At 39.3% G+C, this 25,357-nt stretch overlaps 1 protein-coding gene across 3 annotated transcripts in view; it reads right to left on the reverse strand.

The window, feature by feature from the left end:
- Positions 1-25,357, reverse strand: part of FGF12 (fibroblast growth factor 12) — a 588,152-nt gene that overhangs the window by 534,566 nt on the left and 28,229 nt on the right. The window lies entirely within an intron of this gene.

Here is a 25,357-nt window from a genome sequence, read left to right on the forward strand (position 1 = left end):
GAATCACCACACTCAGACAGCTTTTCAAATCATCTAATTCTTGACTCTAACTCATTCAAAAGTTATTGCTAAGTGTTTTATGACTAGACTCTCTTATTGAGTGATTCCTCCTACATCCAATGTTGCAACTCAAGGAATTTACATTCATACTCAGGATTTTTTTGTGCCCTATCTCATGTAATCCCTAGAACAACCCATGGGGTAGTTATTAACCTTGTGACAAATTATTATGTACCATAGACTTGGGTCAGCTGCTTTGTATCTAATCAAAACACCATGAATGTTAAAAGTACTGATGCCAAAGTCTGGCCACTGTAATCCACAAAAGCAGCAAAAGGCATGCTATCCACTGACTCAATTCTTGTGACACATATTTAGAAACTATACAGTCCATCCACAATTGCATTGTTCATTGCTAAACACTTATTATATTCAGTAAACTGGGCTAAAACAAAATGATAAACAAATGACTATGAATAGTATGTTAGAAAGAAACCCTAGGCCTAGAGACCTGCATAAGGCCCATACTCTGTAATTAAAGGACGGTTTCGAACTTCTGAGTACTCATTTTCTTCTACTGCATAAGGGAGATGAGAGCAGTAGATTTTGTGATCCCTAAGTTGCTTTCCACTGTAAAAAAAAGTTTTTAATTATAATATTAATAAGATACATGCAGTTAGATGAATAAAAGTTTCTGTCAAATGATTACTCTCCAATCTAAAAATTCTCAAAGGTGAAAACTGCTCATTCAAGGAAAGAATATAACCTGTTACTCAGCCTTAGTTGAGGAACAAGACTTTAATGGAGAAATGCTTTTTCCCAAAAGAGAAAATGTACTCTAAACTAGGAGAGAACTGTGTGTGTCCCAGGTTTAGCCATAAATGCAGAAGACAGAAGCCCACTGGGGTTTACAGTTTCTGTCACAGCAAGGGTGTAGAGAAGGATAGGTTTTAGGCCAAACCCTTTGCAAGAACATCATACCCTTTCCTAAGCTTTGCAGCCTTTCCATGTTTTTATTCTTTTTACCATCATCTATCTACCTGTGTGATCATGGTTTTTAATCCTATAAATAGACTGGGCTTCAGTACTTGTCTTTAGGTGCAGAAAGAAAATGGGCAAATGCAGAAACCAGTATCACTTTGGAGACAGTCTTAGGGATAGAGTAAGTGGTAGGAGCAAATCAGTTGAGTGACTAAAGCCTGTAGATGGCCTGAGCACTGGCTAGACCTGGATGGTCCCAGTACACTGCGGCAACAGGGCCTGCCTGGGATGCACTGTGGCCAATGACAGCAATTACGTGAAAGAGTGTGGGTATAAAACTCTTATTCTGTCCTTCAAAGTAAGCAAAAAAAAAAAAGTCCTACTTTTTTTTTCAAGTGAGGCTAAGAAAACAAAATTTAAGATAATTTACATAGTGACATAAATGATAAAACCAAGAATCCTTACATTCATTATTTTATGATATAAGAGGATTATATAATTTATTATGCACACTCAGACATTTTTGAGAGTACAAGGGGATATCATTAATTATCACCCCAAAACAATATAAACAGAGACATATGGCTCTCATCCTTAAAACCCTGTGTTCATTATCCACCATTTCATCTGCTCCATTTTTGTAGCCTAAGAAGGGAGCAGAATACAGGTTTTTATGCCTGTCTTATAGATGAGGAATCTGTTGCTCAGAGAGCTGAAGTGCCTTGTCCAAGATACACAAAAGGTCACCTTACAATATTTGAAGAATAATGCTCAAAGGATTCTTAAAGATAGGAAACATTAAAGAACAAACTAGGAATCAAAACACATTATTAAAATGTTTTCAAGTCAACAATTCCCTGATGTGCTTCACGAGGCACTCAAGAATAGCTAGGCAGATCAGTGGAAACAACCGAGGTCTGCACAGCATGGCTCACCATTTGCATTGGCTGTGAATACTTAGCAAAATCCACTGGTGCCTATACTCCCCTAATAGGGTCTTAAACCCAATACACCACACCAGGTGGTCAGACTCACTCAGGTTGACATATCCTAGGTCAACTGAAACTGGAGAGACACGCTTTTGACAAAGCCTGTCCAAATGGAGAATGTAGAGGAGAAAGAAGCCTCTACTGGGAACCCATCACACAGCCACCAAACCAGAAGACCATATGAGTATTCTCAGTTTCATTTAGCATTAAGTTAAAATAAAAGCATGACTCAGTTCTTCCTCCCCTCTTGCGATGAGTGCTTGGAATCTGTTGGAGCAACCCCTGGCCCAGCTCACATCACTACAAGACAAAAAAGTAAGTAAGATGGTATCACCCAACATCACACTTCCTAGACAGAACAGGAGAACTTCAGAGAAAGAGCTGCAGAGTCCTAGGAGCATAGAGTTGAATGAAATCTAAGAGAACAACACCAACTCCTCTCTTTATGAAATGGAAAGAGGCCTTAAAATCGTGTCTGAGTCACATTGCAAATTAGTGGTAGAGCTGGCAAATTAGAGGTAGACCTCAAGCTTCCTGTTTTGTGGTCCACAGTGCTTTCTAACTCTTTCCATGTAATAATGTACGCAAGTGAATTAGAATGGATTCATTATATGTGAGTTTGTGGGTTGTACTGTGTCTCCCCAAAATTCATATGTTGAATTCCTCACCTACAGTAACTCAAAATGTAACCATATTTTGAGATAGGGCCCTTACACAGGTAATCAAGTTAAAATGAGGTCATTAGGGTGGGCTTTAATCCAGTATGATTGGCATCCTCAGAAAATGGATATTTACATGCAAATATACACACAGGGAGAACACTATGGAAAGATGAAGGCAGCAGTGAGGGCAAGGAATGGCAAAAATTGCCAACAAACAACTTGAAGCTAAGGAAGAGGCATGGAATGGAACAGACTATCCCTAATATTTCTAAGAAGGATCCATCCTTGCTGATACCTCAGCCTCAGACTTCCAGCCTCCAGAATGGGGAGAAAATACATTTCTGTTATTGAAGCCGCTCAGTTTGTGGTACTTTGTTACAGCAGCCCTAGAAAACGAATTCGGTGAGTTTGAGATAGAGGCGCAGTGTTCCTCCAGTGTCTAGTAAGTCACTCATCTGCCATATGGATTTGCTCACCCTGTAGTGACTGTTGTCCTAACCCCAGCCTAAACATGTGCCACAAAGATTGCTTGACTTTACGTAGCATGAAAAGTCCACACCTCAACACATACAATAAAGACGGCCTGTCAAACAGTGACCTTCCTCCTTCCTCACCTTCCAAACTATTACCTCCCCCAACTCCCACACTGAGAGTTAACTGGGCCTAGTTCTATAGGCAAAAGTAAGCCCCACATTGATAATAACTGGTGAACTTCAGGGTTGAGATGACCGTAGCCTTCCCCCTATTCCTGATCTCACCTATACAGATGAGTAGGCCAAAGAAAAACTCCTGAGGTTGTGTCAGGCAAACTTGAGGACATACCGTGATGCTGTCAGAGTTCTGGCCCAGAGCGTTTTATACATACACAGGGAGAGAATTTTTTTCACTTTGAACAGAATTTCCAGTTGTTTCAATATGAATATTTTCTAATCATTTTACTAGCTAGTTCAATATATTGGTTTTTCTTCTTCTAACAGAAAGATACAAAAGGCTCCAAAGAATAGAAACTCTAAAATTGGAAACTGAAAAAACAAAATAGCCATATGTTCTATGCCTGAGCAGAATGCTTTGGCACCAATGGACGCAATGTGACCTCAACCTTTTATTATATTTTTCAATGCAAGCTGCCCCACCCAGAGACATATGATGATGCAAAAGACAGATCCTGGCCTGTCTTCCGTCTCACACAGAGCTGGTACCCTAAGCGGACTCCCAGGCATTAGAAGTTCTGAATTTGGCAGTCCTAATCCATACGTCTGGGGCAGGCTGACTGAGAATCCATTCATCAGAAGAGGAAACACTGGAGTCATTTCCAGATTAAGTCCTGGCACTATATTCTCTACAAATAGAAAGTAATTGTATTGGTAGTGAGTAAGCCTAGCCGGGCTTACTGTCTAAATGCTTTCTAAAGCTACTCTATCATAAGTAAAACATCATAAGAACAGTTATACAATATAGTCCTCACTTTTGGGTTTTCAATTATACAAGTTGCTATCACAACACTCAATGACAAAATGACTAACCTCTAGTTACTATGAGCCTTGACTATGTGACAGGCTAAATGTTCCAAATGCTTTTCACTTATTATTGTGTGCTCATCTTTACAAAACCCTTGTGAGGTAGGTACTCTTACTATTCCCACCTCACAGGTGAGGAACACAGGTAAAGACATGGTTGAGTAAATTACTCAAATTCACCCAGCTAATAAATGGCAGATACAGAATGTGAAGCCAAGCTGACTGCAGAGCTCATGCTTAGAAACCACTATCCTGGTCTGCTTCTTGCACTGAGGGCCACCATTACTGTCACTTTTTTCTCTCCAACTCTGAACTTTTTTGAAGTCAGTGAGGATCCCCTTCTCAGCTCTTCCACCTGCATTTAATGACTGTTGTTGAAAGACTCAAACTCGTTCATGTCCTTATGCTCTAACCAGGAAACAATTTCTCCCTCCACTCAACTTTCTCAGTTTCTCATCGATGACAATTTTTGCCTGGTAGTTGTTTACATACCTTAAACCTCCCTCCTTTCCCCACAGCTTATATATGTGCAAAATTCATAGCTAAGTTATTTCTGCAATTTCCCCGAAGCCCACCATATTCCCTTGCATTTAGTAAGAAGTTCTCCATAAACATTTACGGGATAAAGAAAAACAGGGTCAGTGCATGGCGGTAAAGAATCCAGGGCCTTCCTGAGAGCCAGCCCAGGCCCAGCTTATCTTTCGTAAGGTCCATTTCAATGGGCCCTTAGACAGTGCTCACTGGGTAATGTGGAAGACCTGGAATTCACTCCAGAGCAGTGGTTCTCAATCTTTAATATGCTTCAGAGTCCCCTGAAGACCTTGCTGGGCCTACTCCAGAGTTTCTGACTCAGGGGTTATGCGGGTGAGGCCCAAGAATTTTCATTCTTAAGTAGTTCCCTGGTGAGGTTAACAGTGCAGATTTGGGGGCCACACTTTTGAGAATCTCCGCTCTGGATCCCAGCTTTGGAGAATAGGAAGTATTTTAAGCGAAAAAGAAATGAGTAGATAGTGAGAAGCTCCTTGGTGGAGTAAGGGTATGCAGCAAATAGAGGAGGCACGGAAGGTCATATTTAGATGGGAAATAGAAGCAGCAGGGTAAGTCTGGGATGCAAGAATGTACAAAGTGAGGCACAGGAAGATAGGCAGAAAATGTGGAGTTGACACGAAAGATAAGCAGTTCTGCTCCAACTTCAGATCACAAAGAGATCTAGCCAGGCATGGTGGTTCAATCCTGTAATCTCAGCACTTTGGCAGGGCAAGACAGGTGGATCACTTGAGGTCAGGAGTTCAAGACCAGCCTGGACAAGATGGCAAAAGCCCATCTCTACAAAGAATACAAAAATTAGTCAGGTGTGGTGGTGCATGCCTGTAATCCCAGCTACTCAGGAGGTGGGAGGTCAGAGGTGGGAGGATGGTTTGAGCCCTGGAGTTTGAGGCTGCAGTGAGCTGTGATTGTGCCACCGCACTCCAACCTGGGTGACAGAGCAGGACCCTTTCTCCTCACCGTCCCCCACCCCAGCCTGCCAACCAAAAAAAAAAATCATAGATAGACATCTAGATTCATCTTCTCATACAGGGAGGCCCCAGATCCCGTCCACCACTGCCAACCAGGGATCACACCCAAAGGCCAAACACCTTATTATTCTAAAGCTTCTAAATCACGATGGCTGCTTTTTGTGGCTTCTCCATACAGCTGCACATTATCAAGGGAGCCAGCTAACCAGGCCATGGGGCTTCAGACTTGGGAGCCGAGGACTTTATGTTTCAGTGGCAGGGAAGGAGAGAGTAATTCTTCCTGAGCTGGGGCAGCATAAAATCCTCTCTTCTACTCCCTGACACCAGGTGTATGCCTGATAGTAAAACATCACATTTTAAAAGTGGAAATAACAAAAACAAACATTTTATCTGGCTCCCATGTTGGTGAAAGATTTCTATACTAAGGGCTTTTTTTTCCTTTACTGGAAAAAATAGCTTATCGATGTTTCGCATTGCCTCAGTGTGAAGAAAGCAGTTTGTAAAAGTCAGAAACAGATACCGTAGGGAGTCAGAAATAGATACTGTCAAGGGAGGAATTTTGTTGGGTCCTCAGAAAAGTCTGGAAGTGGACACCACTGTTCCAAACCTTATTTTGAACAAAGAGCTAGAAAAAGTGGGGAATGATTAGAAGATTAATGCCATAACCAGGTGAAAAACAAGATGACTGCTGCCGAAGGAAATGGTGCAAAGGGCACAAGGGACTATGCCCAGGACACAAGGGGAAAGAGGTCCAAGGAGCTGGAAGAGCTATAAACCCAACGGACTCCAGCAGGAAAGCAGGTGGTGGTGGCCTTCGGTTGGGAGGTGGTAGTGGGGGGAGGTTATGAAGAAAGGAGTTTTTGCAGGGGTTATTCAGGTCATCACATGGTGAAAGCCAAAGAGGTCAGACTGTGTTGTGAGGACTGGAGCGGACAGAAGAAAACTTTCCGCAATGAAAAAGACCAGTGATTGCACAGCAGGAAACCCAATAGGAAACGTGAGAGGCATAAGAACAGCCCAGCCAGACAAGCTGTGGTTCACAATGTGACTTGCTTCCTCTCTTTTAACCATAGCATCTACATTTATAAATGAATACATTCTATTAAGTTTTCTCTGAGGGTCCTCCTAGCTCCCAAATCCATTAGGAAGTATATTCTTGCATTCATTCAGTCCACAAGAACTTAAGCACTTACTATTTGCCAGGTCATTAGATGCTAGACTCATAATAATAAACAAAAGTGTCCCTACCTATAAAGCCCAGGCTCATGAGCTTCCAGGATCAAAGAATAGGAATAGTTGGAAGCTACTCTAAATGAGACTAAATAATGTATTTACATAAAGACATTTAGTAAGGGCCTGTGCTGGGCTCAGCTGAACAAGTCTTCAGGTTATTTGGTTGTTCAATAATATAGGCAGCTTGGGAATATACTTGTAAACATTTTATTTATTCAATACTGTTTCTGTCTATAAGCCACCTGGCTCAATATAATATAGAGCACAGAATTAATGTCTTCTTAAAAATGATAAAGGGTCAGAATAAGGGAGGCCAGTTAGGCCTCCACTGCAGAAGATAAGAGGTGAGGAATGTGAACTGAGACAGCAGAACCAAAGGGATATAACAATGTAAACTAGAGACGATAAAAGGGGTGACATAAAGTCAGACTAGGTGAGGAAAGGGCTGCCTTAGGAATGACTAAGTTTCCACTCTGAGTGCCTATGTAGATTGTGGTGTCATTTGGCAAGGTGAGAAAAGCAGAAGGGAGTGACTGAGGAGAAGACAAAGAGCTCAGCTGGAGTCAGTAGAGTTCGAGGTGCTTTGGTTCTGAAGTCCAGGAGAAAGTTCTAGACTGGAAGAATACAAGTCGTGAGATTCTAGGCGGCAGGTGAAGACAAGAAGTAGATGATAGTGGCTAGATTGAGGCCTCTGCCTTGCCTCTACCAATCTCTAAAAATCCCTGTGACCAGAGGGATTTAGAAATGAATAAAGAAAGAGCATGAAAGAGAAAAAGTCAGTTAACTGGAAGTCATTTTTTAAAGTTTTCTATTTTTTCCTTTCCCAAATATCACCCAGATCCTCCTTTTTTCAAGGAAATATCTTTATTCTTGCTTTACAGATGGGCATACAGGGAGCAATGATGTATGCTCATCACCCAGATATTTACTCCAGAAGCTGGCTGAGGTCATAAAAATCATCTAGTCAGCCAACACCTACATGCAGAAGAGGAGGAAAGGCAACATGCTGAGGGTCACCATAGAATGACTGCATTTTTTAAAAATTTGTGCCCCAAGAAAAAAACACACATACAATGTTTCATAGACATTCCATAGTGTCAGATTGGGAAGCCATTCTTCTCTGCCCACCCTTTTTATAAAAATGGAGATGTTAAGACAGTGACAGGTAGAATGGTTTGCCCATCATTTTCTCATGAGTTGACTGAGTCAGACAGTCAGAATCTGGGCTCTTGATTTCTCTTTTATAATAAGTTTCCTTAGACCGGGAGAAATGGTGACACACATCTCAAGTTTTATGTTTCAGTAATTCTCCCAGCAGTGGTCTAAAGAACCCTCATTAACCATATGGCAGCCCTGGTACAAGCAAGGTAAACAGCAGACACCCAATATTATCTGCTATAAGCCCCTGAACGCACACAGCTGGTGCACACACAGTCATGCATGTTTTTTCCAATCCCCATTGTTTCCCATGTAAATTTTGCATGAAAATTTCCGTCCGGGTCCCAAATCTGAGGTCTTGAGATAAGAAAACCTAAATCTAACCCTGACTCCAGCTCCACCTCTGCTGTTTACTAATAACTAGCTTGGGAGATTCTCTTCACCTCTGGATCTCAGTTTCCTCACCTGTCAAGTGAGAGGTTTAGACTAAATGATTTCTAAGATTCATTCCTCCTCAACATTGTATGAGGTCCCAATAGATAACTTATTTAATATGAAATATCATCCTCTGAGAATTACAGTGTTATACAACAAAGAATTTGGTCTTTGTCCTGGGCTTCTGGGATGGAGACTCGAAACCTTTGAAATTTCCCAAATCATCAGAGTGTCTGTGATTCATGCTGGGCCCATGAACCACACCTGAGTTTGAGTTAAGGAGGTGTCTCTGGATGCGGGCTAGTCCTGCCAGAAAGACCAAACATGTAATTAGAGGGTTGCAACTTTGAGCCATGGGTCAGAAGGAGAGGGAAGTTGTAGGTTGACTTCGTTCATGTGGCCAATGACTCAATCGGTCATGCCTAAGTAATAAAACCCTAATAAAAACTCTGGACCTTGAGGCTCTGGTGAGCTTCCTTGTTGGGGAATGTATCAATGTGCCAGAAGGGTGACATGCTGTCATGGGGAGAGGGCATAAAAGCTCAATATTTGAAACTCTTAGAAACCTCACTCTATGTGTCTCTTCGTTTGGCTGCTTCTGAATCGTATCCCTAATAATAGAACTATAATCCTAATACTTTACTGGGTTTTGTGAATTGTTTTAATGAATTATCTAACCTGAGAGGGTCATGGGAAATCCCCTTCCAAATTTGTATTCAGTTGGTGAGCAGTGAAAGCAGCCCAAGGAACCCGAACTGGCAGCCAGCGTCTGAAATCAGTGCAATCTTGTTGGGGATTGCGTCCTTAACCTGTGGAGTCAGTGCTAACTCTGAGCGGTTAGTGTCAGATTTGACTTGCAGCATTACGTACAATATACCTACTAGACAATAATTATAATTTATATGTGTTCTCAGACAAGTAAATGGACTCTAAACACCTTCTACAAGTGCTCCTTGGCTTACAGTTACTGGTGTGCTGTGGTGGCAGCATCGGTGTTATGTGATTATAAGAGACTAGCTACTGATAGTGTTTTCAAATCATGGTTATGTTGGTGTGATGAATGACATAAAAAATTGTTTCAAGATGTCAAAGAGGACACACTTGTCTGCACCAGCACCTCCTAACAGGGCTTAAAACAGAAACATTTCCCCGCTCTATTAAGCAGCTGTTACAAAGTTTAAAAAAAAATTTTTTTCTAGGGGGCAGCCATCATTATTCAGGTGTTGAATAAAGCCCTGCCTAATATATCATCTCTTTAAATGCTACTCTGCGGGGCTTATTTTTATCACTCTCAAGCAATTCAAATGTTGGTCATCCAGAAAATTCATTTCTTTCTTTCCTTCCTAAAGGCACAGGCAACAGAATTGAAATCACTGATGTAAACTGAGCCAAAACAGACTTAGGAATATCTTTCTGTTCGGCTGCAACTCAACCTCCATTCCCTGCGCAATAGGAAGCATCAATTAACTGATCATAACCAGCAGAAGAAAGAATATCTGGAATTCTTTTGTGAAAGGTCAACTTAAGTTCCAGAGTCGTTCTCATCCTGTATGATGCTGTAAGAGACCAGCATCTCCCTTCCATGATACCCAGTCCCTGTATTCCTAAGAGTCATCTTGGGAGTGCCTGCTCTCGATGCAACATCTTAGAATCCTCTCCCAAAGGTTATGAATCGGTAGTTTTAAGTTTGATCCCATTAACCTGCATGGTTCAACCCTTCCAGGTAATTCTGACACAGGCGATCTGCAGAAACACTCTCTGTTGCTTTTCCCCAAAGGTCACCACTGAGAGGGCACATGCTGTCCAAGCTGCCTGTGTTAACGGGGTTAAAACGGAAATACGCATCAGACCCACCAGAAGATCTGTGATACAATGTTAGTGAGCAGTGAGTAATCATCACGAGTGATTTGTTATAAAAACAGATCTAAAGCTCCTTGACTCTGAACATGCCAATCAAGACCAACTGATCAGGGTTTGTTTTTTTTTCATTTGGAAAAAGGTCAAGCAGCTGCCCGTTTGCTTTTTTCTCTCCAGGGCCATTTTAGGAAGTTCATCTGCTCTAAACAGCTGTTCTCAAGTAGAATTGATCCCTGCAGAAAAATGACTGTGGGACCACACTCCAGAGGTGACATATGTTAAACTATTTTTCAGTTTCAGCTTACCTTTGAAAAGCATATAAGAATAGCAGTCTCTCTTTTCAGTGATTCAAAATCAGGGTTTAAAAGCGTATTTTGATGATCATCATCAAATTTCTATAAAGTGTTATGTTTATAATGCTCTCTTTTTAGTTGTCATGACTTATATTTAGATAACACTTTTTCTTTATCCATTCAATATTTTTCAGTCTACAAAGTTCATTCATATCATAGTCTTCATTACAATCCTTCAAGCAGGCAAGGAATCTATAATAATATTAACCCAGGGCAGATAGTAATAAACACAACGTGGATGAGGGAGACTGACCTTGTTGTTCAAATGTCAACTCCCCTATTTACTTGTGTTATGTGGCCTTGGGCATATTTACCTCCTTGTGCCTCAGTTTCTTCATCTGTAGAATGAAGATAATAGTATCCACATCATAGTGTTGTTGTAAAGATTACAAAGTTAGTATCTTTTTTTTTTGAGACAGAGTCTCGTTCTGTCACCCAGGCTGGAGTGCAGTGACACGACCTCAGCTCACTGCAACCTCTGCCTCCCAGTTCACGCCATTCTCCAGCCTCAGCCTCCCAAGTAGCTGGGATTACAGGGGCCCGCCACCACGCCCGGCTAATTTTTTTGTATTTTTAGTAGAGATGGGGTTTCACCGTGTTAGTCAGGATGGTTTTGATCTCTTGACCTCGTGATCCGCCCGCCTCGGCCTCCCAAAGTGCTGGGATTACAGGCGTGAGCCACTGTGCCTGGCCTACAAAGTTAATATCTCTAAAGTGTTTAGAACACAGTAAGCACTATAAAAGTTTGTGAAATAAAATTATACTCAACAAGCATTTGAGTGCTCACAACCAAATAACAAAGGCACAGGGATAAAAGATTTACACCCCAGTTCCTGTTCTCCAAGAGCTCGCAAAGCAGAACTGAGAGGGAGACAAAAATTCAAATAACTGTAAAACAGTTTCTTAGGTATCGTGAGAGAGTAGTGGGGGCACATCAGACAAGGGGAAAGGTAGGGAAGGAGGTGACAGCAGGTACCAGCACGGAGGAGAGTATAAATAGATAGCAGAAATTTCCCAGGAAAACCGGAAGGATGGAAGAGGGAGAGAATCGGACTTCAGGCTAAGGGTGCAATATTTGAGAAAAATAATAATACTTCCAAATCTTTCCTATCTATTATATATAAGGACTGTGATAAAAAGATTTACTTACTTTGTTTTTGAATCCTGACAATAGTATTTTAAGGTTGTCCTCACTGTTATCATTTTTTAAATTAAGAACATGGGACTTAGAAAAGCTTACAGTATATTTCTCCAGGAGAATATACTGTAAGTGGCAGAGCCCATCTGTCTCCATGACTGACACTGAACAGGCTGTCTCTCAGGCACTCCTGAGCCCTGGAGGCAAAGCGTGGCGCAATCAGGGATGTTGTGAAGAATGGAGAAGGAAGGAGCTAGAAAGAGTTGGAAGGTGAAAAGAAGGGCTTTTCATGTGCTGATTTCGTATTCATATAGGATAGATGTGAGCATGTCGATTAGCTGAGAAGTCAGTAGAGAGGATGAAAATATCAGCGTCTTAGAAGTAGGTGCTGATGCAGCATCCCACAAGACACAGGAGGTGACAGCATCTAGGGGAAACCTTGACTGGCTTAAAATGAAAGGAGAGCCAACTCTTGCTCTGAACAAAGAAGAGAGAAAGACAGGCACAGAGGCAAGTTTATAAATGATAAAAAGGGTCAGAAAGTTGGAACCGAGACTGAAATGTAGGCTTGTATGATCTTAGCGAGGAGAGTCACTGAAGTCAATGGAAGACATCCCACACCACTCCCCATCACCACAACCCCAAAAAGTGTCCAGTTTGGGCACCCACCATTCTATCTCACCGACCTCATGCCCCGGTTGTTCTGAATGTAGTGCCATTGTTTATTAAGATATTAACTTACATTTGTTCTTCTCTTTTTCCTGTGCTATTTGAAGTGGGTTACTTAAGGTAGTATTTCCTTGACTCAGGTATTTTTTCAATAAGAAAAACAGAAGTTATTTGGAGATCACAGGTCTTAGAAAAGACTATACTCAGCAAGGAGATGTGTAAGGCTCAGGGATGGAGGTATATGAGGGAAAGAGATTTCTTAAGAATATCTATATGTAACAAAACTGCACGTTCTGCACATGTAATCGAGAACTTAAAGTACAAAAAAAAGACAATGACTTTTTTCTCTAATTTTTTTTTTTTTTTTTTTTTTTTTTTTTTTGAGACGGAGTGTCCCTCTGTCACACAGGCTGGAGTGCAGTGGTGCCATCTCGGCTCACTGCAAGCTCCGGCTTCTGGGTTCATGCCATTCTCCTGCCTCAGCCTCCCGAGTAGCTGGGACTACAGGCACCCGCCACCACAACTGGATAATTTTTTTGTATTTTTAGTAGAGACGGGGTTTCACCATCTTAGCCAGGATGGTCTCCATCTCCTGACCTCGTGATCTGCCCGCCTTGGCCTCCCAAAGTGCTGGGATTACAGGTGTGAGTCACCGTGCCCAGCCCTCTGATTTATTTTTAATAAAATAGTCTCTCACATCAAAAAAAAAAAAAAAAGAATCTCTAGATGAGACAAATATTTGCCTTGGGACTAAAAACATATACACAGGGGTATTAAGAGGAAGCAGGGTGGAGACAGTCAGTAGCATTCTGGGGAGTGATGGCCATGTGACTTGCCTGGGGATCTGAACCCCAGGCAAAGGGCAGTTCTTGGTGGCAGTGAAGACTCTCACGCCCCACACATGGCACATATTCCATAACAGTGGCCAATGACCACAAATGGGTTAAGGCTCATAAGACCCAGGCAGAACTTTGACTCTGCCTGGTAGGTGGGATAAGGTCCAATAGTGACTGACAAATAATTCACCACCAAGGAGAGGTAGTCAAAGTCAGAATTGGGTTGGCCTAATTTAAAGGAAACAAAGAACAGCTGCTGTCTCTAAAGGAGCTCCGGCCCAGGGGCCCAGCCATCACCACCATGTCCACACCCAAGGTTGTCCCCTGCAGCAGGCTAGGGCATGCACCCAACCCTGCCCCTGTACCTGTGCATGTGTAAGTAGCAGGCCCCACCCCCCAGCTCCTGCCTCCACCACTATTCTTGTACCCAGAACTGGCCCTTGCAGCTGCCTAGGTGTGCATATCTCCAGCTCAGGCCCACTACTGCCTACACACATGTAGTCAGCCTGACCCCTGTCCCAACCCGCAGCTGACACCTGCCATCATGCATGTGTACACTGCCAACCTCTGCCACAACATGTGCACATGCAGTCAGTCCTAGCCCCTTCCTTTGCTGCCAGCCCTTGCCACGATGCACAAGCTTGCCACTGACCTTGGCTGCCACACACATGCCTTCAGCCAGCAACTGACCTTGGCTGCCACACACATGCCTTCAGCCAGCAACTGACCTTTGCTGCCACACACATGCCTTCAGCCAGCCGCCACAGCTGAGCACACGCACACCACTGACTATGGTCCCCATCACTTTCTGCCCCAGCCCCTTGCCACCAAACTCAGAGACACTACTGAGGACCCTCACAGCCATAGCAGACCTCACACAGCTCTTGCCACCAAGAACGACCTAATTGCCAATGTCATGGACCCCCAGCTTTCTGAGCCAATGAGACACCACATCCACCCCTTGACCTGGAGCTACTGTATACTTCCATTCATGGTGCCCCACACCACTACACCTGGTGCCATGGCACGCCCCAGCATGCATCCCTCTATAACCACCCCCCAACCTCTGCCACAGGTGAGGGTCTTCTCTTACCAAAACCAGTCTATAAAGTTTGGAAAAAGAATGCACGCATCAAATGCTACATTTGTAAGGCTTTGTAAGGCTACAAGAATTATGAAGAATCAGAGGAATATGAAACCAAAGGAACACAATAAACTTCTAATAAGTGACCTTAAAGAATTGGACATTGTCTATGGCCATACCACTCTGAATATGCCCAATCCTGTCTGATCTCAGAAGAATTGGAGATTCATGAATTTTATAACAAAGAATTCAAAATAATTCTCTAAAGAAGCTCAGTAAAAAATAAAACAGTATAGAGATTTCTGAAAAACTAAAAATACTATTACTATATAATCCAGCATTTTCACCAATGGATATTTATTCAAAGAAAAGGAAATCAGTATGTCAAAAGGATACATGCACCCCCGTGTGTATTGCAGCAGTATTCACAATAGCAAAAACATGGAATCAACCTAAAAATTCATCAGTGGACAAACGGATAAATAAAATGTGGGATATATATATAATGAAATACTATCTAGCCATAAAAAAATAAAATTATGTCATTTGCAGCAACGTGGACTGAATTGGTTGGAGGTGATGTTAAGTGAAATAAGCCAATCACAGAAAGACATATGTTCTCACTCATATGTGGGAGCTAAACAAGTCAATGTCCAGGATGTAGAGAGTACAATGATAGATATCAGAAGATGGAAGGGGTATATGGATGTTGGCGATAAAGTAAGGTTGGTTAATAGGTACAAACACATAGATAGATAGAAGGAATACATTCTAATGTTTGATACCAGAGTAAGGTGACTACAGGTAACAACAATGTATTATATATTTCAAAATAGCTGGAAGGGAGAATTTGAAATGTTCCCAACACATAGAAATGATAAATACTTAAAGTGATGTATACCCTAAATATCCTGACTTGATCATTACACATTCTATGTATGTAACAAAGTATCACATGCACCTCATGAATATGTACAAATATGTATCGTTTTAAAAGAAGTTCAGCAAACAAGAGAGCACAAAAAACAGTTTAAAAAATTAGGAAACAATAAAAGAACAAAATTATAAGCTCAACAAAATGATAGAAAACATTAGAAAATAACCAAACAGAAATTTTGGAGCTAAATAATACAATGACTGAACAACAGAATGGAATAGAGAGCTTGAAGAAGAATAGATCATGCAGAAGAAATAATAAGCAAACTAGAAGACAGATTGTTTTATATCATATAGTAAGAGTAGAAAAAAGAAAAAAAGGAATGAAAATTTTATGTGATATATAAAACACCATCAAGAGAGCTATTTTTTGCATAATAGGATTTTCAGAAGAACAGAGAGAGAAAGGGACAGAAAACCATTATTTAGAAAAATAATGGCTAAAAACTTCCCACCTGGGGAAAGAAATGAACATGCAGGTACATGAAGCTCAAAGGAATTCAACCAAATTCAACCCAAAGAAGAGTTCACCAAGATACATTACAATAAAAAATTAAGAACTAAGAAAGAACTTTAAAAGCAGGAAGAAAAAAAAAGCAAATCACATACAAGTGAATACCAATAAGGCCATTATAGATTTCTTAGTAGAAACCTTGCAAGCCAAGTGAGAGTGATGATGTACTCAAAATGTGGAAAGAAATAAAACTGCCAGCCAAAAATACATTACATAGCAAAGCTGTCTTTCAGAAAAGAGGGAGAAAAAAGACATTCACAGACAAATAAAAGCTGAGGGAGTTCATCACCACTGGAATTGCTTTATAAGAAATGCTAAAGAGACTTATTTGGGATGAAACAAAAGGCTTACTAATTAGTAACATAAAAACATATGAAAGCATAAAACTCACTGAAAATGTAAATATATAGTCAAAATCAGAATACCATAATACTGAAATGGTTGTGTGTAAGTTGCTTATAGTGCCACTATAAAGATTGAAAGGAAAAAAAGTATTTGAAATAACTACAGCTACATTAACTTGTTAATGGTGATATACAATATAAAAAGAAATAAACTGTGACATCAACAACATAAAATGTGGGGAAATGGTAAAACCATAAAGCTTTGCCTGTGATCAAAGTGGGTATCAGCTTAAAGTAGACATACAGGTATAACTATAAAATGTTTTACATAAGCTTCATGGTAACTACAAAGCAAAAACTTATAGTAGATGCAGAAAAGATAAGAAAGAAATCAAACCACAACACTACAAAAAAAAAAAAAAAAAAATCACCCAATCACAAAGTAAGACAGCAAGAGAGGAAGGAAGGATCTACAAAATATCCAGAAAATGATTAATGAAATATCAATAGTAAATCCTTATCTATCAATAATTACTTTAAATGTAAGTGGACTACATTTGTCAATCAAAAGACATAGAGTGGATAAATTATTTAAAAAAGACAAGACCCAAATATATGCTGCTGACATGAGACTCATTTCACCTTTAAGAACATACACAGACTGAAGATATTTAGTGCAAATGGAAACTTAAAGAGAGCAGAGGTAGCTTTTATATTGGAAAAGCTAGACGTTAAGCCAAAAACTGTTATAAGGGACAAATAAGGTCATTATATAATGATGAAGGGGTCAATGCATCAAGAGTCTACCACAATGATAAATATATAGGTATCCAACATAAGAACACCAAAACATATAAAGCAAATATTAACAGATCCGAAGGGGGAAATAAACAGGAATACAATAATAGAAGTGGGTGTCAATACCCACTTTCAACAATGGATAGATTATCTAGACAAAATATCAATCATAAACTATTAGACTTGAATTACTCTTCAGTACAAATGAGCCTAACAGCCATTTACAGAACATTCTATCCATCAGCAACAGAAAACACATTCTTCTTAATGGCACACGGAACATTGTCGAGTATAGATTAAATGTGGGGTCACAAAACAAGGCTGTGTAAATGCAAGAATATTGAAATCATATTAAGTATCTTTTCCAACCACAATGGTATGAAACTAGAAACCAATAAAAGGAGAAAAATCTAGAAAATTCATAAATATGTGGAAATTAAAGTAAATACTTCTAAACAACCGATGAGTCAAAGAAAAAAATCAAAAGTGAAATTTTAAACTCTCTTAAATCAAACAAAAATGGAAATACAACACACTAAAAACTATGGATACTGTAAAAGCACTCCTAAGTAGGATGTTGGCAGCAGTGAATGCCTACATTAAAAAGAAGAAAGACCTTAAATAAACAACTTAACATTCTACCTCAAAAAACTAGAAAAAGAAAAAGAAACTAAGTCCAAAGTTAGCAGAAGAAAAAAAGTAATAAAGCTCACAGCAGAAATAAATCAAATAGAAACTAGAACTATTTAAAAATCAAAACTAAGAGTTGAGTTTTTGAAAAAATAAAATTAACAAACTTTTAGCTTGAATCACTAAGAATTTAAAAAAAGACACGAGATAAAAAACGAAAGTGGAAACATTACAATAAATGCCTCAGAAATAAAAAGGACATGAAGGACTATCATGAAAAATTATCTGTAAACAAATTTGATAGCCTAAGAGAAATGGAAAATTCCTAGAAACATACAACCTTCTAAGATTGAATCACAAAGAAAGAGAAATCATGAACATACAAATAACACATAAAGAGATTAATGTAGTAATTAAAAACCTCTCAACAAAGTAAAGCCCAGGACCAGATGCCTTGATGGTTGAATTCTACCAGACATTTAAGGAATAATTAATATCCATCCTATTCATCTATTTTAAAAAATAGAAGTAGAGAAAATACATACAAACCCATTTTATGAGGCCACTATTATCCTGATATGAAGGCCGGAAAAATATAGCACAGGAAAGGAAAACAACAGGCCAATACCTCTGATGAACATCGATGCAAAAATCTTCAATAAAATACTAGTAAACCAAGTTTTACAACTCATCTAAAAAGTTATACATTGTGACTATGTGAGATTATCCCTGGGGAGCAAGGTTGGTTTAACATAGGTAAATTAACCAATGTGATACACCACTTTAACAATATAAAAGATTAAAAACCACATGATCAGGCCAGATGCGGTGGCTCACACCTGTATTCCCAGCACTTTGGAAGCCAAGGCAGGCAGATCGCTAGAGCTCAGGCATTCAAGACCAGCCTGGACAATGTGGTGAAACCCTGTCTCTACTAAAAATACAAAAATTAGCCAGGTGTGGTGGTGTGGTTCCTGTGGTCCTGGCTACCTGGGAGGCTGAGCTGGGAGGATCACTTGAGCCTGCAGAGTGGAAGTTGCAGTGAGCTAAGATCACACCACTATAATCCAGCAGCCTGGGTGACAGAGTCAGCAGACCCTGTCTAAAAAAAAAAAAAAAAATCATTTTAATAAATGCAGAAAAAGCATTTGACAAAGTTTGACATCGTTTCATGATAAAAACTCACAAAAAATAGGCATCAAAGAAAATTTACTCAACATATTATAAGCCATTTATGAATAGTCTACATGACAATCAATGGGAGAAAACCAGAAGCTTTTCTCTAGGGTCTGGCTTAAGGCAAGGATGCCTACTCTCACCACTTCTATTCAACACAGTATTGGAAGTACCAGCAAGAATAACCAGAAAAGAAAAAAAAAAATAAAAGGTATCCAAATATAAACTATCCTATTTGCAGGTGACATGATCCTTTATGTAGAAAACCCTAAAGACTTCACAACAAACTCTTAGAATGGTTTTAGTAAAGTTGCAGGATTAAAAAAATACAAAAATCAATTGTATATCTTTACACTAAATATTACCTGTCCAAAAAAGAAATCAAGAAAATAAGCCCATTTATAATAGCATTAAAAAAATACAATGGTTAGAAATAAATTCAACCAAAGAGGTGAAAGATCTGTATACTGAAAACCATAAGGTGAAATAAATTGAAGAAGATACAAATAAAAGATATGTCTTGTTCATATATTGAAATATTAATAATGTTAAAATTTTTATACTCAAAGCAATATACAGATTCAACACAATCCCTCTTATAATTTCACTTTTCATGGAAATTGGAAAATTAATTCTAAAATTTTTATGGAACAACAAAAGTCCCTGAATAGCCAAAGCAGTCCTGTAAAAGAAAAACAAAGTTGGAGGCATCACACTTCCCGATTTCAAATTATATTACCAAGATAAAAACAATATAGTACTACCATGAAAACCGACACATAGACTAATGGAATAGAATAGGGAGGCCAGAAATAAACCCAGGCATATATAGTCAACTAATTTCTGAAAGGGGAAGAAAATACAATGAAGAAAGGAGAGTCTCTTCAATAAATGATGTTGGGAAATCTATATATCCACATCAAAACAATAAAATCAGAACCTTATCTTACACTACAAAATACTCAACTCAATATGAATTAAAGATCTAAACACAGAGCCGTAAAACTCCTAGAAGAATACATGTGAAAAAGACTTACTAATATTTTCCTTTGCAGTGATTTTTATTATTGTTTTTTGGCTGAGACATCAAGCATGGGCAACAAAAGAAAAAATAAACAAGTGTCACTACATTAAACAAAAAAATTTCTGCCCAGCAAAGAAAACAATAAACAGAATGGAAAAGCAGACTAAAGATTGGGAGAAAATATTTGTGAACCATGTATCTGATAAGGAGTTAATATCCAAAATATAAGGAACTCACAACTCAATAACAAAAATCAAATAACTCACTTTTAAAATAGGTGAGAGACCTGAATAGACATTTCTCCAAGGAGGACATAAAAATATAAAACAGGTATGTGAAAAGGTGCTCAACGTCATTACGATATGCAAATCAAAACTACGATGAGATATCACCTCACACCTGTTAGGATGGTTATTATTAAAAGGACAAGACATAAAAAATGTTGGCAAGGGTGGTGAGAAAGGAGAACAGTTATACGTTGTTAGTGGGAATGTAAATTGGTGTAGCTATTATGACGAACAGTATGAAAGTTCCTCAAAAAATTAAAAATACAACTATCACATGTCCCAGCAATCCCTCTTCTGGGTATACACCCAAAGGAAATGAAATCAGTACTTTATCAAGATACCTGCATTCCCATGTTCACTTCAGCATTATTCACAATAGCCAAGATAATGGAAACAATCTACGTGTTCATCAACAGATGAATGGAAAAGAAATTGTGGTGTATATACATATATGTGTGTGTACATATATACACATACATATATATACATATACGTACATATATACATATATATGTACGTAGAGATGGGGTATATACGTATACGTACATATATATACATATATATGTACACAGTAAAATAGTATACAGTAAAATAGTATACAGCCTTCAAAAAAGGAGACCCTGCTATTTGCAACAACATGGATGAACCTGGAGAACATTATGCTAAGTGAAATAAGCCAGGCACAGAGAGGCATACACTGTATCACTCTTATATGTGGAAACTAAAAAACAGTCAAATACATAGAAACAGAGAGAGGAATGCTGGTTACCAAAGTTGGAAGGTGGGGAGAAATGGGGAGGTGAAGGTCAAAGGGTAAAGAGTTGCAGTTGTGTAGGATAAGTAGAGATCTAGTGTACAGCATAAGGACTACTGTGAATAATATTTGTACATATACTAAAAATTTGCTAGGGGAGTAGATTTTAGGTGTTCTTAACAAAAAAAAAGATAACTATGTGAGACGACAGATGTGTCAACTGGCTTGACAGTAGTAATCATTTCACTGTGTCTATGTGTATCAAAACATCATGTAACCTTAAATATATACAATCAGAAAAAAAGAAAACAAAAGCATATTTATCTCTGAGTTGATAGATTACAAGTCATATTCAACACATTATTTGCTATTCCAAATACAAACCTAGCATTTTTCGTTGTGTCTTATTCACATTGTTCCTTTCACCTTGCCCATGACTTTCTCTACTCTGCAGACTCTGAATGTCCCAAACTTACCTTCTGTCCATAAATAATTCAAATGCCACCTCCTAGATTAAGACTTCATTCTTTGAGGTGGAAGGTAAGGGAGAAATGTCCCTTTGTGTTCCATTATCATTTTGCATGTACATATACGTGAATTCTGTTAAACTGCAGGCTCTTAGGGAAGATATCACTCATACCAGAAACTTTCCTATCACCTACTCTGATGACCTTCATGTATGTAGTAGGTTCACAGGAAATGTCTTATGTCAGTTTTTTCAGTTAACAAACTAACTAATAAAATGTGAGAATTCAACCTGAGATCAGTGAGCTTTACTTACTTAAGGAATTCTAGTTCAGGATTTATCAATCAAATATTTAAAATTCTATTAGAATTTTCCCTCACTCAAAGTATGATTCCTATGGATGAGGGGTTGTTTACCCAGCAGACTAAGTTTTGCCTACTTATTGGGTCAATTAGTTGGCGAGGATGAGGCACTCACTTTCTGCACGTTTTATATCCTTAAGGGCTGGGTGCCAGTGGCTAATGCCAGTGATACTAGTACTTTAGGAGGCCATGGAGGGTGGATCACTTAAGGTCAGAAGTTCAAGACCAGCCTGGCCAACATGGTGAAACCCCATCTCTACTAAAAATACAAAAATTAGCCAGTCATGGTGGCATGCACCAGTAATCCCAGCTACTTGGGAGGCTAAGGCAGGAGAATCACTTGAATCCAGGAGGCAGCGGTTGCACTGAGCTGAGATCTCACTACTGCACTCCAACCTGGGTGACGGAGAAAGATTCTGTTTAATGGTGGGCTATGAAGCTCTCTGCACATGTGTTTTTCTGTGATGCTAAGCTCAGCTTTTTTTTTTTTTTTAATCATTTCCTAACAGTAAGCAATAGTGGAAAACCCCATTTGTACCCACCAGTATGTTCCAGCTGCATGATCTCTGTTGTCTTGTTCTGAATTCTTACCCTTTCCTATAAGTGAGGCCAGAAGGTTTTTGCAGAGAAGCTCTGAGCAAGTGACTGATGCTAGCAATTCTTATCAGATTCACTCATTGAGGGCACCATGTGGGCAATGGCTGCAGAGCTTTTCAGTGTGTTTGCACTTCTAGAATCAGCAAACAGATGAGGGAGGAGCCCAGAACAGCTGGTGGAGAAAATAAGAGCAGGTGGGTTCAGAGAAAAAGGGTTGTTTTTCTTTCAAAAGCTAGTACATTGCAGGCATGCTATGAAGGGATTGTGGAGTGGGAAGTGACTGCAGCCAAGAGACTGCTGGAACAAGAGGCACAAAGCTTGGGTATGAAGCCTGACTTCACTACTTACTAAATGGGTGACCTTGGCTTAGTCACCCAATGAGGCTAATTCTCTATTTCCTTACCGTAATCAGAAGAAATTATTGTTCTGTAGGCTTTATAGCAATGTTCTTAAACTTAAAGGGGCTAGCGGTCTTGTTAAATGTGAATTCTAGCTCAGTAGGTCTGTGTGGGGCATTTCTAACAAGATTCGGGTGATACAGATGTGCTGGTTTGTATCATTTTATATAACAAGGCCACACTAGATTGAAGAGGAGACTAAATGAGGTAAGGGATAGGGAAAAGCTTTATAAACTGTAATGCATTTTTTTTAAAAGTGATTTTATGATTAGCAATAATAAAAACAGGTGCTTTCTATTTAGTACAGCATTTCCTAGGATTGTTTGCCCCCCACACTACCCTGAAGATCTGAACTTCTTTTTAAGGGCTTCCCCACCCTCCCCCGCCTCTCAGTTAGTTCTCAATATGGTTGGTTCCAGCCCAAGGGCTGACTTCTCCTGCTGACAGAAGCAATGGGATCAGCATTTTCCAGAAGGCAGCAGGCTAATGTGGTGATTTAGCAATGCAATGATTCCCCAAAGGTTACTAGAGGGGCTCTGAGGAACCTTGTAGAAAAACACACAGCTCTCTTAAATGAAAGATGGTCTGAGTCTACAACAACTCTTCGAAGGTATACATTAGACTTGCATTGCTTTTGGAAACAGAATAGAAAGAATTTCACTTCTTGCAAACTACTTTGCATTTCTTGTCTCTCCCATCAGCAATCTGAGGCTCTTGCATCAGAAGAGAAATGCACATTCTCTAAGGGGAAATTATTGATACTGTCCCAAATTTCTGATATACAAGGGCACTCACTGAAGGTCAACTCCCATCCCCAGTTTAGTATTCAGGAGGCACTTATTATTTCAACCTGGCAGAAGGCTCAAATGTTACTTGCCTGAAGGAGCTGGTTATGGCAGAAAGCACCCTATAATAGGGAGAAGGTGGACTGACTAGTCCCAGGAGTGTTGCCTTGCATATCTGAGATTTGACTGTGACAGAAGCCACTGGTCAGGAGACATGGGCCATGAAGATGGAGATGTACTGTGGCCTCACCAAAGTTCATCTCCAACATTCTCACTTTCACTGACTTCACTGGCTTCCTTGATGCTTTGCAAATATGCCAAGCACACGACTCCTTAGAGGACTTGCATTTGCTGTTCCCTCCATCTGAAATGCTGCTCTCCCAAATAGACCATTGTTTGCTCATTGCTGCTCCCTTGCCTAATTCAAGTGCTTGTGCAAATGTTGCCTCTTCAGTGAGGTCTTTCATGACCTACCTAAGTAAAATTCTAAATTAATCCGCTAATGTCTCCTAAAATCCCCTGTCCCCTTGCCTGATCTTTTTTTTTTCATGATACTTGCCAACATCTGACATAAAATGTTCTATTTATTTGATAGTCTCTCTCCCATCACAGAAGGTAAACTTCATAAACTCAGACAACTCTATTGGCTTTTGTTCACTGCTCTATATAAAGCAGTGCTTAGCACACAATAAGTCTCAAGAAATATTGGTGAATTAACAAATCAATATTTTAATGAATTAACTAATCAATTAATAAGAGGGTTATTAAAGTATTGAATCTCAGATAATGTGCATGCTCATCAAAACTATATACTATATATGACCTCCTCTAACAAAGTTGTTTACTCAAAAATGTATTGTTCTGGACTAGGAGATAAATGAAGTCAGTATAACCAAGTTTTGTTTATGTAGCTGTATAAGTTTATACAGGCCCTTTCCTAGCCTCAGTCTTTTATCACAAAATACAGGAATTACACCAGGTTCTAAGTCCCTTCTAAACACCAATATCATATAATACCAAAAATAAGAATAGCAATGGCTGTATACACAACAACAATAATAAAAATATTTACTGAGTGTTAATATGCGTCAGACATTATCCTGAGGACACAGAAGCCATAAAAGTGAGTAAACATAGACTTCATTCAATTCCATTAAACCTTACTCACTGACAGTGGGAAGAAGACAAAATACAAAAATTTAATGAATCATTAAATATTAATCCAAATTCATACACTGAGCAGAAATGATGAATTTTTATATTCCTGTCAGCTTTATAATTTACCTTTGGTTCTCTGGAGATGTGAAACAGTTAGATACTTGCCAATGATGGTCAAATAGCAACAGATCTTCCCCCAAAAGGTGAGAATCACCTCCATTTTTCAAAAAGAAACCACAAAATACCAGTGAGAAGACCTTAGTTGTCAATACACCTCACCCTTTCAGAGTGCTCATCACATTGTTCACTTCCATTTTCAGTATTAGTCCCCTTTGACCCTTTCAGAAAAGTTCCGTATGTTAATGCTTTAAAGAGAGTTATATGTCATGAAAGAGTTGTCTTCCCTCTTTCTGTATAAAGATATGGGTGATAACTTTGTCTTAGCCACTAAAAACCTGCCATCAGTGTTTCCCGATAAATCCTTATAACCCATTTGCAGCTTTCAGTTTTGTTTTTCCTTCTTATTCCTGGTTTCTAGTCCTCACCTATCTCCAAATACCAGCCATGTCTTTTTCCTGGCTTCAAGTTTTACATCTCTCAGAGGAGGGTTTGGGCAACACATCATCCATGCCATTTGCAACTCTTTCATTTTGTTATACCTTAGTGTTTTCTGCAACAAGGAAATCTCTTTAAACTTAT

The sequence above is a fragment of the Homo sapiens genome, chromosome 3 (assembly GCF_000001405.40).
Source record: "Homo sapiens chromosome 3, GRCh38.p14 Primary Assembly".
In the NCBI taxonomy this organism is placed as follows: Eukaryota; Metazoa; Chordata; class Mammalia; order Primates; family Hominidae; genus Homo; species Homo sapiens.